General features: G+C 39.5%; 1 protein-coding gene across 2 annotated transcripts in view, besides 1 other annotated feature; it reads left to right on the forward strand.

Annotated features, from left to right (window-relative positions):
- Window positions 1-14,476, forward strand: part of PARM1 (prostate androgen-regulated mucin-like protein 1) — a 116,998-nt gene that overhangs the window by 50,346 nt on the left and 52,176 nt on the right. The window lies entirely within an intron of this gene.
- Window positions 7,909-8,410: an enhancer, noted in NCBI's record as "NANOG hESC enhancer chr4:75916580-75917081 (GRCh37/hg19 assembly coordinates)". NCBI's record gives its function as "activates a minimal SCP1, AML or CMV promoter by ChIP-STARR-seq in naive H9 embryonic stem cells {active_cell/tissue: H9 hESC(naive)}" and the evidence as "EXISTENCE:reporter gene assay evidence [ECO:0000049][PMID:30033119]".

Consider the following 14,476-nt stretch of genomic DNA (forward strand, 5'->3'; position numbering starts at 1 on the left):
CAGTGGATAGCACTACCAGCTATGAAACTTCAGTAGGAGTTTCTCCTCCTATCTGGAAAGCTGGCTATTCTGGTCACCATGACTGGACCTGATTTATATCATCCCTGTCAATGCTTCTCTCTACTGTAGCTTCTGCAGCCCATGGCTCTATTCCTTCAACATCCCCTCCTGCTCCCATGTACTTTTATCCATTACTTTTCCTCTCTTCTTAGATTTGGCCCTGGAGAATTTACCTTCTTAACCAGAACAAGTGCTTGGACAGTTTTGGACACTCAATTATTATTTTAATTCCTTCTGGCTTCCCTTTCCACCCCACCCCTTCACCTTCCAGTTTAGCAATCCTTCAAAACTTCTTGTTGTCTTTATTCTTTGTATCATTGATGTCTTCTTGGCTGTTTTTTAAGGTTTATTTTTAGAGATGGTGGTCTCGCTACGTTGCCAGGCTGGACTTGAACTCCTGGGCTCCAGTGATCGATTGCTTGAAATATTTCTGGAGTTCAAGTCTAACCTGGCAACATAGCAAGACCCCATCTGTAAAAATTGCCTCAGCCATCCAAGTAGCTGGAACTACAGGTGTGTGCCACCACATTTGGCTTTCTTGGCTATTTCTTATCATCTTTTTCCTCAGAGGGTGTCTGGACCATTCAGAGTTAACCAATTAGTGTGACTTATCTCCTGTCCTGTGAGGAGAAACCATTCTACAGTCACCTGGAATCAGTAAAGGAAACTGCATGCTCCTCTGAATTCCACACCAACCACACTCTAGTTGAAAACAGTGGTCTAAAAATTGAAAAGTGTTCTATTATACACCAAACCTGTACTTCACTAAATGGTAACTTAATGACCTGAAGCAGGGTTTAACAACCTTTTTCATGCCTTGACCCACATAGAAAATGATAAATATTTGCACAGTGCTCTGGAATAAACAGATGAAGGTGACCATCTGCCCTGAAGGTGGAGGAGTTCAATATCTACACACATACCTGTAACCTATTCTTGGTACCATGTCGGGAAGCCTGACATAAGGAGTTGTCCTGTTTCCAAAGGCACAGAATTTACTTAAAGGAGTGAGAATAGCTAGTCACTGTGCACTATATGTTTTCCAAAAGGTTCTTTATCATTTTCGAACGTTATTTGGAGTACCAGGAGGGTTTCCTTAGGCTTAGAGATTAACAAAATAAAAAAGCATTAAGTGTAAGAATAGCTAATTTTTTTTGAAATGTCATTAACATAGCGTAGACTGTTTTAAGTGTTTTACATGGATATCAGAGAAGATGCCAGCCTCCTAGGAGCTGAGGTCAAATCCAGCCTTCAGCCTATTTTTGTTCAACCTGTGAATTAAACATTTTTTTATTTTTAAAAGATTGTTAAAGAAAAGCACACTAAGAAGAATATGCAGTAGAGACTATATGTGGTCCCAAAGCTTAAAACATTTACCTTCTGGCCCTTTAGAGAAAAAGTTTGCCAACCCTCATCACAGAGGATGGCAGGGAGTGACAAAGCTCCAAAAAAGATCCAAAGGACATGAGTAAGCAATCAGGAAGGCTGGCTTTCCACAGCCCCATAGATTCCAAAAGTAGACAATGAGATTCAATAGATCTGAGCAAGACCATTTTTATTTACAGCACGGAAAGCAGCAGAAGCATCACATGATACTGCCAGTTCCTCTGCCATTACATCCCACATAACACAAAGGGCCCAGGTGGCAGCTATGCGGGCAGTTGTGCTGCAGCTGAGGAATCTAGGACCAAGCCCTCCATACCTTTTACAGCAAGTAATGAACAAGCCAGAATCCTTCCCCTGAGGAGTTAGTAGTCATATGGTTGTCTGTCTGTGTCACCATGACCTACTTAATTGGCTATGTGATTAGCTACAGAAATGGCTCAGCATCATAGGACAGCTAGGCCTTGCATTTTGGCATACTCAGCAAGGATGGGTGCAGATGCTGGGGCCCATGGAAGACTGCCTTTCCCAACAGTGGGTGGTCCATTTCATCCTTATCACAATCCTGAGAAGAAGATGCTACTATTATCCCATTTCACAAGTGAAGAAATTGAGGTTCGGTGAAAGGGAAGTAACAAAGCAACTTGCTTAAGGTCATAAGCAACTTGCCCAAGGTCAAAAGTAACTTGCCCAATGTTGCAAAGCTAGTAGACAGTGAGCAGTGATTTAACCCTACTCTGTCTGAATGCAGGGCCCAAACAACATACAACTGCCTCATTCCATTTGGCAGGAAATTGAGAACCACAAGGAACAGATTTAAATTATGTATCTGAGAGAATAATTCATTGTGGTTTTTTGTTTGTTTGTTTTTGTTTTGTTTTTGAGATGGAGTCACACTCTGTCACCCAGGCTGGAGTGCAATGGCATGGTCTCGGCTCACTGCAACCTCCACCTCCCAGGTTCAAGTGATTCTCCAGCCTCAGCCTCCTGAGTAGCTGGGACTACAGGTGTGTGCCACCACGCCCGGCTAATTTTTATATTTTTAGTAGAGACGAGGTTTCACTATGTTGGCCAGACTGGTCTCAAACTCCTGACCTCGTGATCCACCTGCCTTGGCCTCCTGAAGTGCTGGGATTACAGGCATGAGCCACTGCACCCGGCCTTAGAATAATTCATTGTTTTGTTTTCCTCTTTTAATGATAATGCTGAGAGATGGCATTTTGACAATGCATAGAGTCTTTGGTGCATAATAATTTTAAGATTTATATATGTTCAGATACTAGTAAAAGCTTGCTAAAATCTTTCCTGATTAAAAAAAAATGGATTTGGCTAGATTTTACCTTTGCCAGTTGTTTTAAAAAGTTTCCTTTGCAGTACGAAAGGCAAAACACACATTTAATTATCTTTCTCTAGCTAATGTTTGAACTGCCTAATTATACTCAAAGTGCTAATTACAGATATTACAAATTGCAACTCACAATAAAATATTTCTTCATGACTTAACCAGTCCCATCAATTAAATGAAGTCCCAGACATATTCCTCCACACCCTTTGTGTTACTCTCTCTACATTTCCACAAACCAGTAACTGATTTGTATGGATAGTATAGAAACAGGTGCAGAGAGGCATTGTGCATATGTGTCTATGTGTGAAAAACTAACGCAAACAGCAGAAGAGGTTGCTGAAAACAGCAATGAGAGCACATACACATGAAGCTTAATGGCAATGCTAAGTCCAACACAAGGGGGTGGAAATGAAGGGGTCGGGGCTGTTGCAGGGGACTTTGGGGTTGCAGGTAACTGAAACATCTGAAATTGTTTAAGCAAAGGAAAAAAATTTCAATGGAAAAAAATGACCTTCCTCATAATATCCATGGCAGAAAGTTCAGACAAGTCTTAGACAAGATCAGGAAACCTCTTGCTAAGGAAGCCCACCAGCTCTCTGTGATCACATGGTCCCTCACACCTGCTCTACTACTCCAGGGTAGTAGAATGTCAGTCAAAAATTGGGCTCTGGAGTCAGGTCAGACAACTAGATTCACACCCCGGCTGTGCACTTTCATTAATCTCTCTTTGTGTCAGTTTCTTTGACTGTAAGCACTTGAGTTTAATTGAGTTCTATGAACATTAATTGAAATAGGACCTAATACATACTAAATGTTCAATATTATTAGTGCTTTTCTTTCATATTTGCTTTATCCTTTTCCATCATCAAATTGGCTTCCCCTTCTTTTTATGCATGTGATAAGATGTCTTCCCAATTTAATCATTAATTCTAACGGACTACCTAGTGCCTCAGTCACAAATACAGTTTCCTAGAGGAAAGAATCTGGTCCGGCACTGGTAAGGTTCTATTCCTGGTCCAATCAGCTGTGGTTGGAGGACAGGATCACAGGGTTCAGGTGTGACCACAGAGACCCATTTCTTTGTTAGCTGGGGGCATGAGAAGAGACAGAGAACTTCCATAGTACTTTTGAATTCAATATAGACATTAATAGTTGTTGATATTGAATGTTCTACTGTTTATAAATGGTAGAACATCTTAATATATAAGGAAAGATGCATGTAAATCAAAACCTATTCTAAATGGTATCTAAGAAGATCATGAAGTAAAATTATTTGTAAAAACTTCTTTTAAATTTGAAATAACATACTGAATATTTATTTTGTATATTAAAAATTAAAATATTCAAGGTGTTTGTTAAGACAGGTTATGTCAACGTCAAGAGATGAAATTTTGAAGTTTTAAAGTTTGCCATGCAATTTGCTTGATCTCCTTTTAAAGAAACTAAACTCAACAGATCCTGTGTTGTTTGTTGTATTTTCTTATGGTTGATCAAGAAGGACAGAATTCTGTTCTTTTTTTGAAAGAGATTAAAATCAGATGTAAAGAAGCAAGTTGGCACCTACTTCCTCTGGGGATACTACATGATCTTTGTTCTCATTTCAGTTATTCAAGACACAAGCAGATAGATCATCAGTGTCCTTCTGATTCTTGATTGTGTTATTTCATTTATTCAGAAAAATTAATTTATGTTCAATTTCACATTTACTGTGTGTCATGTGAGGCCCTGGGCTAGTAGCCTTGTGAATGAGTTCAGGAGGAATGAAATGGACTCTTTTCCCTTGAGGACTTCATTATGGGAGAGATGGCTGTGTATGTAGGAGATACATTTACACAGCTATGGTAGGCATGGCTGTTTATACAATGGGCACCTTTATGCAACTGTTGGAGAGATGGCTGTGTGTATAGTGGACACATTTACACAACTGTAGGAGAGGTGGCCATGTACACAGTGGATAATTTGCACAACTGTGGGAGATGGCCATGTGCACAGTATACATATTTACCCAGTGGTGGAAGAGATGGTTGTGTATACAGTAGACATTTTCACAACTATAGGAGAAACAGTTGTTTATACAATGGACACATTTATGCAACTGTAAGAGAGATGGCCATGCATAGAGTAGACACATTTACATAATGGTGGGAGAGATGGCGCGTATCAGTATACATATTTATGCTGCTGTGTAAATATGGGAGAGAAGATGATTAGTGGGAGAGATAAGAGAGACATGGGAAGATGACCATAACTCAGTAAACTCTGTAGCGTGGAACTTTCCACATCATTGGTGCTCAGTTCTTGTTGAATGAATAAACTAACTGGTGCATCAGGCAGGATGATAAAAGTGTTATTGGACAAGCACAAAATGTTATAAAAGTGTAAAAGAGAGTCATTCACTCATTAAATAAACACTTGTATGCCTACTATGTATCAGGGGCTGTTTTAAGCATAACTGTATGGCTATTACTTCTGGTTAGAAACTTTTAGAAAATGACATAAAGGAGTTGGCATGCTAGAGTTGATATGCTAGACCTTAAAGTCCCAATTCATAGATTTAAACAGGCAAAATGGGCCTGAGAGAATTCTAAGATCAAAGTTAAGTTTGGCTGGAGATGGCAGATGTAAGGTGAAGCACAATGATTAAGATTACAAAGGTAGTATAAGCCAAAACCACTGAGGAAAGGGCATTTTGTGCTGAAGGGCTAGTTTGGACTTAGTTTTGTGCACAGTAAAGAGTTGCTGAAACTTTAGAAGTCCTATAAGCAGTTTGTCTTTGAGGGCGTCCAAGGATAGAGAGGAAAAAACCAAAGTATTTTTTTCGTATTCTCTTTTACGTCTTAATACAACACAGCACCTCCAGTCACCAAAATGTGTGGGGATTTCTCCCCATTAGCAACCAACCCTCCAGCAGATACCAGCTGGGTCTCCTCTAATTCAATTTAATTCTTATACTATCTACCTGAAGATAGTGTCAGATCCCACAGCTTAAGGGCTCAGTCCCACAAGACTGCCCCTACTTCAGACAGCAATCCCAGGAACTAAGTTGCTATTTATACTTCTGACCCACTGGCTATAAATCAAGATTCCCATATCCCCTCCTTGTGTTCAATTAATTTGCTAGAGCTGCCCACAGAATCCAGGAAAACACTTACATTTACCAGCTTATGTTCAAGGATATTACAAAGGATACAGATGAACAGCCAAATAAAGAGACGAATAGGGCAAGGTATGTAGGAAGGGATGTGGAGTTTCCATGCCCTCTCTGGCAGCCACCCTCCAGGGACCTCCCTGTGTTCAGCTATCAGGAAGGTCCTCAAACCTGTTCCTTTTGAGTTTTTATGGATACTTCATTAGGTAGGCATAATTGATTAAATCATTGGCCACTGATGATCAACTCCACCTCCAGCCCTTCTACCCTCTGTAGAAGTTTTAGAGTAGGGCTGAAAATCCCAACCCTCTAATCCTGCCTTGGTCTTTTGGTAACCAGTCCCCATCCTGACTGCTATCTAGAGTTGCCAGCCACCAGTCATCTCGTGAGCACACAAAAGACACTATTATCACTCTAGAGATTCAAAGTGTTTTAGGAGATGTATGTCAGAAAATGGGATAAAGACCAAGTATATATATCACAATATCACAGAGGAATTCACCTAGCAATGCTGTGTGGATTGTATTGGTGGCCTCATCAGGAATGAGGCCTTGTAGCAAGGGAGTGATCATGGAAATGTAGAAAAAATATGAATATGAGAAACACTGGAAGGTTAGAAACTGTAACATACAAGAGACATTTCCATGTAAAACTTATGGAACTAGAGGACATATCAAGTAATAGTAAGAGACTAAGGCATCATAGATGATTCCTGAGCTTCACAGTTACCTGTTTAGGAGATGAAAGGCACCATTAATGAAAATAAGGATCACAGGGGAAGGATCAGATTGGCAGGGAAGATGCATTTTGGATATACTAGGCTTGAAATGAGAGCAGAGTATGCACATGGAAATCTGTAGTACATCCATTGCACAGGGTTATTAATTCAAGCAAGCAAGGCCTGGGAGCAACTGCAGTAGGTCCTTGAAGGACTGACTTTCACCTATTAGATAGTAATCTCATGGATATCTTCATCTACAATATCAATGTTTCCAGCTGGAAGGAGGAAAAGTTTTGCAGCTGCAATGTAAATAGGGATTAGTGAGCTCCTCCAAAATACTGTTGGCTTCAGCACAACACAGAGCTGGCCAGAGATGAAACTTAGATATGCAGGCACAGTACCAGAAACAGCAAATGGACTTCAGGCTCTGTCTGTGATCCAAGAGACGAGAACTTAGGACCATCCAGGGAAAGTCTTGGAAAGTCATAATTGCTACTGGCTGAGTTGGGAAGACACCAAAAATCCCAGCAGAGAGTGGGATGTGAGGATCAGAAAATAGGGAGTTGGCAAAAATAATGGGTGTCAACCAAGCATAGTAAATTAGGATAATCAGACTAATTTTGCCAGATGGCAAAATTTTTCACTTGAGTTCACCTTTAAAACACTGTATTTGGCGCATAAATGCCAGTTGGAGGCCCTCCAGTGTTATAAAGTTGCCAGTCAGTATTTGACAAAGATAATAGCTGAAGCCATCAGATTGGATGACATTTCAAAGGTGTACTGTCATATTTATGGAATGGTAAGAGGAGCTAGATGTGAAGAAGACAGAGATAAGAGAAAGACCAAAAGGATGCAGTATTTTTGAAGCAAAGGAAACAGACTTCACAGCCAACTTTTCCAAGAGACCAAGTAAAGAGTAATATATATTTTCAACATGTGCATAGCACTGTATTAGGTGTAAAAGAAGTCAGATAACATGGGTTCCGCCCTGCAGAAGCACTTTTTCTTGAGCATAAAGGATATATAAAAAGTTTGGGGGCTAAATTGTGTCACAGGTTATTAAAGCAAATGGGAAATATTTCCACCTCTGAACATGATGGAGTAATGGAAACCAGATTCAACTTTCTACCTTAAACAACTAAACAAAAAATAAATCACAAAATATATGAATCAATGGTTTTCCAATATTGGTCAATAGGCAGTAATTTCTAACAAGAAGAACAAAGTGAGTCCTACAATTGCCTCAGCTTGACACCTAGACAGAGTTTCCAGGCTAGCGTTGAGGGAAAAGGAACCTAGGCAGAGCCAGGCAAACTTCCTGAGTTGAGAGGCACAGTTGAGAATGTTAAGGTAGGCTAAAGCACCTAAGATTCCTGAGGCAGAGTACCAGAGATGCAGAGAGAGAGAGAGCTCCAGAACCTGAAGAGGATTCCTTTCAAGTCCAAAGCTGAGTACTGATGAGCGCATACTTATGTAGAAACATCACCAGAAAGAAATTAACAGAACAATTCCTCACAGTAATTCAAGACTGGAAATAATTCACGTTTCCAGCAGCCAGAGGAAAGAACCCTTGTAATACATGGGGCATTAGGTTGAGTGCTCAAAAGGGTATTGCATAAGTAGAGGGGCCAAATTAATGAAAGCTGCTGTGGTCCCCACATAACAAAACTTAACTGCAAGCTGAGAGAATCAAAATGTTTCTAAGTAACTTACACATGTCCCAGAACAAAGTTCAAGAACAGTAAAAGTAATGCAAAAACAAAAAAACAATCCCAGGAACTAAGTTGCTATTTATACTTCTGACCCACTGGCTATAAATCAAGATTCCCAGACCTGCTCCTTGTGTTCAATTAATTTGCTAGAGCTGCCCACAGAATCCAGGAAAACACTTGCATTTACCAGCTTATATTCAAGGATATTACAAAGGATACAGATGAACAGCCAAATAAAGAGATGAATAGGGCAAGGTGTGTAGGAAGGGATGTGGAGTTTCCATTCCCTCTCTGGCAGCCACCCTCCAGGGACCTCCCCGTGTTCAGCTATCAGGAAGGTCCTCAAACCTGTTCCTTTTGGGTTTTTATGGATACTTCATTAGGTGGGCATAACATCCAGCAGCATCGTCACAATGTCTCTCACCTAATAAAAAATGAGTAAATTTGAAGGCAAAGTAATAGAACGTTTTCAAAATAAAACGAAGAAAATAAAACAAAAAATAAACAAAATAACAGAGCAGCAATGAGTTGTTGGACAACTTCTAGAGGCTTAGTACACATGTCCTCAAAGAAAGGGGCAGTGCAGAAAAAATATTTGAAGACCTAACGGCTTACATTTTTTCAAATTTGATGAAAACTATAAATTTAGAAATCCAAGAAACTCAACAAATTCAAATAAAAGAAACATGAAGAAAACTGCATCAAGGCACATCTTAATGAAATTTTTTAAGGCCAATGGGGCAGGAGAAGTCTTTACATCAGCCAGAGGGAAAATAAAACCACAATTAGTATAGAGCAACAAAGATAAAAATAACAGCAGAGTTCTCAATGGAAACAGTGCAAGTGAGAAGAAAGTGAAGAAGCAGCTTTAAAGTACTGAAAGAAAACAAACATTCAATTTAGAATTCTATACCCAGCAAGAATATATTTTTAAAAACAAAGGCAAAGTCTCTTTCAGACATACACAATCTGAAAGAATGCAGTTATCAGATAAGCAATGCAAGAAATTCTTCAGGTAGAAGGAAAGTGACGCCAGATGAAAATCTGGATCTAAACAAAGGAGTGAAGTGCTCCAGAAAGTATCTTTTTAAAATAAAAATAATAATAGTGTGTTATGAGCATTATAACATATATACAAATAAAACAAAGTAGCAGACAGCTTCTAAATAGCTTCTAATTATCCCCACCTCCTGATGTAATCCTCTTCCCTTGTATGTAAAATAGACTAGAGACTTATTTCTTATGAATAGAATATGCCAAGAGTGTTAAGATATCAGTTCTGAGATTAGGTTATAAAAGACTGTGACTTTCATTTTGCTTAAACTCTTTCCCTGTTTCTTCCTGCTTGCTTGCTTGGATGAAGCAATCTACCATTTTGTGTACTGCCCTGTATGGAAGCCCATGTGGCAAAGAACTGAGGGTAGCCTCTGGCCAGTAGCCATGAAGAAACTGAGGTCTTCCATTCAAAGATCACCAGGGCCTGAATTCTGCCAACCACTGTATGAATGAGCTTAGTAGCAGTTTCTTCCCCAATTGAGCCTAAAGATGACTGAAGCCCTGGCTACACCTTGTTTGCAGCTTTGTGCAAGGCCCCAAGAGAGGATCCAGCTGAACTGCTCCCAGTTCAAATTCCTGACCCACAAAATCTGTGAAATAATAAATGTTGTTTTAAGCTACTAAGATTTGGGATAATTTGTTATGCAGCCATGTATAACTGATACATCAGGAGAAGTGAAATGAAAGTATATATGAGGATCAAAATAAAATATTTTCCCTTATTTTTTACATGTCTTTAAAAGATAATTGAGTGTTTCAGGTAAAAAGAATAACAATGGATTATGATTTTATAACAAATGAAGAAGTGAAATGTATGACCATTTTTAATTTTTGATGACAGAAAGCAGATAACTGGTTGTCTGAGACAGGGCTAGGCATGAAGAGTGGATTTGCAAAGGGGTATGAGAAAACCTTTGTAGGTGATGGGTCTGTTCATTATTGATTGTGGTGATGTTTTCATAGGTAGGTACATATGTCAAATCTCATCCATTTTGTACACTTTAAATAGGTACTTTATTATACATCAATTATACCTCAAAAAATATAAATAAAAGTCTAAGGAACAGACAATAGAAGTTTACAAAAGAGAAAGGTTGATGTAGGTGTAATTATTACAAAAGACTTCACAGAGGACCCAGCAACAGAATCAGGCTGTGATAAAATGGCAGAAGAAATATAGGGAAGGAATTAAAGTGGAGTACAGTAGACTACCAAGGCCAAGAAGTAGGAATTCGTGTGATGTGTAGAAGGAAAGAACATTGAGCAAAGAATGCCTTTTGAAGAAAACCAGCTTGCAAGGGTAATTTTTTCCTGAAAACTCCCAAGAGACAAATTCCTAAAAATCAAAAACATAATTACTATTAGTTTCAAGAGATGTTGATGCATCCTGAGCCCCCAAATTAAGCCACTTATACTAAAACAACACCAAATTGCCTTAAAATGGACACTGTTGCTTCAGCAGATGACATTCATCGTCATGGCATGGCCTTCCCAGGCAATTTCCCTTCATTAATTATTCTGTAATAAGGCTGAATGTCTTTGCTCAGCTCATTTACGGCTACTGCATACCATAAACTTAAACCTTTGCTGTCCTTTTTTAGGCCACAAAAGGCTAAATAAATCAATTAAAAAACAATGCTGGCCAGGCATGGTGACTCACACTTGTAATCCCAGCACTTTGGAAGGCCGAGGCAGGTGGATAACTTGAGGTCAGTATTTCAAGACCAGCTTGGGCAACATAGTGAAACCCTGTCTCTACTAAAAATACAAACATTAGCCAAGTGTGGTGGCATATGCCTACAGTCCTGAGGCAGGAGAATTGCTTGAACCCAGGAAGCAAAGGTTGCAATGAGCTGAGATCACACCAGTGCACTCCAGCCTGGGTGACAGAGCAAGACTCTGTCTCAAAAAATATAAATAAATAAATAAATAAATAAATAAATAAATAAATGGCAATGTAAATGATGCATAAGATTGTCACTACAATAAGCTTAAAAACCAAAAATTCTGGGAACACTTCAAAACTGGGAAGATGACCTCATAAGGGCTGTTGTTTCCTGGCGCTCAGCTACTTGGAGGTACAAACAATCCAAAACAGCTCTCATAAATGTAAGTGCATGCATCATAGGCCAAAGCAGATATTATATAAAACTCCTCGCAAATTTAAATTTTTGTCAACTAAAGGCCATACCCTGGGATATAACTGTAAAGTGAAATACACTTAGAGAAGATTAAATATGACCAGGCTGGGGAAGTGTTTGCATTGTTGGATTAAGGATTTGGGGCTTAATTGGGAGCCTTATAAGATTTGAAAAAAGAGAGTGACATTATGAAAGATGTCTTTAAGATCCATCTAGAAGTCATGTGCAGAGTAGAATTAGGCAGAGTACAAATAGGCAGAAAGGCGATTTAAGAGGCCATCATGGGGTAGATTGAGTGAGATGTGATGAGATTGTGGACAAAGGAAATGACGGTACAATCCTGAACACATTTACTACTAATTAACATTTATTGAGTATTTTCATGTGCCTGGCACTGTTCTAAGTGTTTACATGTATTAACTGTCCCTTTACTGAGTATTTACTATGGAATGTATATCATTATTGTCCCTACTTTACTTTTGAGAAAACTGAGACACAAGAGAGAGCTAGTGAGGAGCCCAGTCAGGGTTTGAACGGGGTAGTCTGGCTCCAGAGTTTCACACATGCTCTGTGCCCTCTTAAGCATTCATTCACTCTGTATGGGTCCTATGAGAAGTACTCAGAGTGCCATTAAAGAAGAAGCCAAGGCCAAGAGAGATCCTGAGTGCATTCACTTTTCTCCATGGCTACTACCTTAGGCCAGAACAGTGTCCTCTCCGCGGCAGCCCCTAGCAGCTTTTCCTGCCTCCAGATGTGTCCTCTTCCATCAATCAGTTGTCTGCCCTCACCAGAGCGATCTTCCAAAAGCATCAGCTGATCACATCACCCCTTGGTTCAAAATCACTGGGATAAAGTTCAGAGCTCACACGTGTCTTACAAGGCCCTACATGATTTGGTCCTGGATGATTTTTTTAGCCTTGTCTCTCATCCCTCTCCATTTTGCATCCTAAGTCCCAGACATAAGGCTCTCATGTCTGGGATTTTTGACATAATGCTTTTAAAGTTGGAAATATTATTCCCCCTTCCATCCACACCACTATTCTTCCTGGACTGACTCTTACTCATCTTTCCCATCCAATCTGAGAGGTCACTTCCCTTTGAAAGTCTACTCTGACACCGTGACACACATCTGTTGTAGGCCTGCCCCCCAATGTCCTTGTACAGGCCCCTGTGTTGTCACTAATTATACCACATTCTAACTTCATGCTCTGTAGCAGCTCACTCCACTGAATATTGGTGCTGTGAGGGCAGTGACTCTGTGCATTATTTTATTCCCAACAATTAGCATGGTACCTGGTACCTAGTGGGCTCTAAATAATTTTTTAAATTGAAGAATAAATGAGGATTGAGTTTGACAGGACATAGAAAAGAAAAGCGAGGAACAAATCAAACTTTCTTCAAATACATTAAACCTGACCGGTGCTATTGGCAGAATCAGGGAGCATTTAGGAAAATTATTTTGGAAGTGGGCAGTGGGGAGTTGCTTAGTGTAGATTGACCTATTGAATTTGGTGATAAAATGTCATCCAAGAAGAAATGAATGCCCTGTGTGCAGCTGGAATGATGGGAGCTGGGGCTCATTTGAGAATGAGCCTGGAGATTCAGACTTGCTAATTCCTGGAGATTTTACCACTCTTCTCTTAGGGAATTTTGCTGTTCTCCCTTTGCTCTGTAGTTTTTATGTAGATTGATTGTTTTATTACAGTGAAACAGAAATCAAAATTATTACCAGACCCACTCCTTTCCAGATTGTGTGTACAGTCACACATAGAAAGGAGAATTAATTTTCTCTACATTTTTCAGAAAGTTTGCTTGTAGTTTTTATATGGTGCTCATACTTGCTTAGCTAGTGAACAAAAGGGTGGATTCCAGAGAGAAGAGCCAAAGCTGAAACGCTTTTGATTCAATTACATAGCAAATAGAAATGCTATTTCTGATTTTTCAAAAAATAATTTTGGCTTTTCTATATATGACTATTTGATAAGGACTTAATAAAAGGTAGATTTTCTGGATGAAGACTAGTGAATGCAATTACAGCCCCCTAGCTACACCAGGCTGACATGCTTGTGCTTCCTCCTGCAGAGACCTGACTCACAGCTGATAAGTGCCTTTAGGGTGAGATGGGAACCTGTCGTGTTAAAAGCAGCCTCTGAGCTAGAGAGAAGGTGTATCCATAGTCTGGCTGGCAGGTAGTTTCTACCAAGGGACATGTTGGCATCTATCCTATGGTCTGAAGAATGACACACCCATTTCCTTCTGAGTAGCTATATGAAGAATGTGCACATTTGGCTGGACAGAAAAAGTTCTCTCTCTCTGATGGATCATTTAGAAGGGTATATGTGTGGATAATATTTCAGCCCACTGAAAATGAAGTGCTTTCCTTAATGGGCATCATGTTTATAGGAGTAGGATCCTCCTTCAAAAAGACCTGAGGGATTACTGGAATCTTCAGACATATCTGAGCCCAAATCCCAGCTCTGCCTCTTGTGAGCTGCTTGACATTGAATTAGAACTTGGATAAGGTGTAGGATAATGACAGAAATAAGGGAGCTGGTGTAATGAGGGAAAGATAATCCAGATATGTTAGACTTACTGACTTTGAATGTAAAGCCCAAAAGACAGAGGACTGGAATGCAGGAGAGAACATAAAGCTGGATATTCAGATTTGAGACTCACCTTTAAAATAAAGCCATGCAGCAGAGGTGACTCTGCCTCCGATGAAGCATGTGTATATTTGGGGTGTCACTGCATAATCCCAGCACTGCCAGAGGGAACATAGGAATATATTAAAAAGTGGTTTATAAGGTTTAAAATGGGCAGAGTTATTTTTTGAATATTTTTTCTAAGCAGCGACGCATATAGATTTATTCTAAATAAGTGCACCAAACGTAAAATTATTCTTTGAGTTGA

This window comes from Homo sapiens, chromosome 4 (assembly GCF_000001405.40).
Source record: "Homo sapiens chromosome 4, GRCh38.p14 Primary Assembly".
Lineage (NCBI taxonomy): Eukaryota > Metazoa > Chordata > Mammalia > Primates > Hominidae > Homo > Homo sapiens.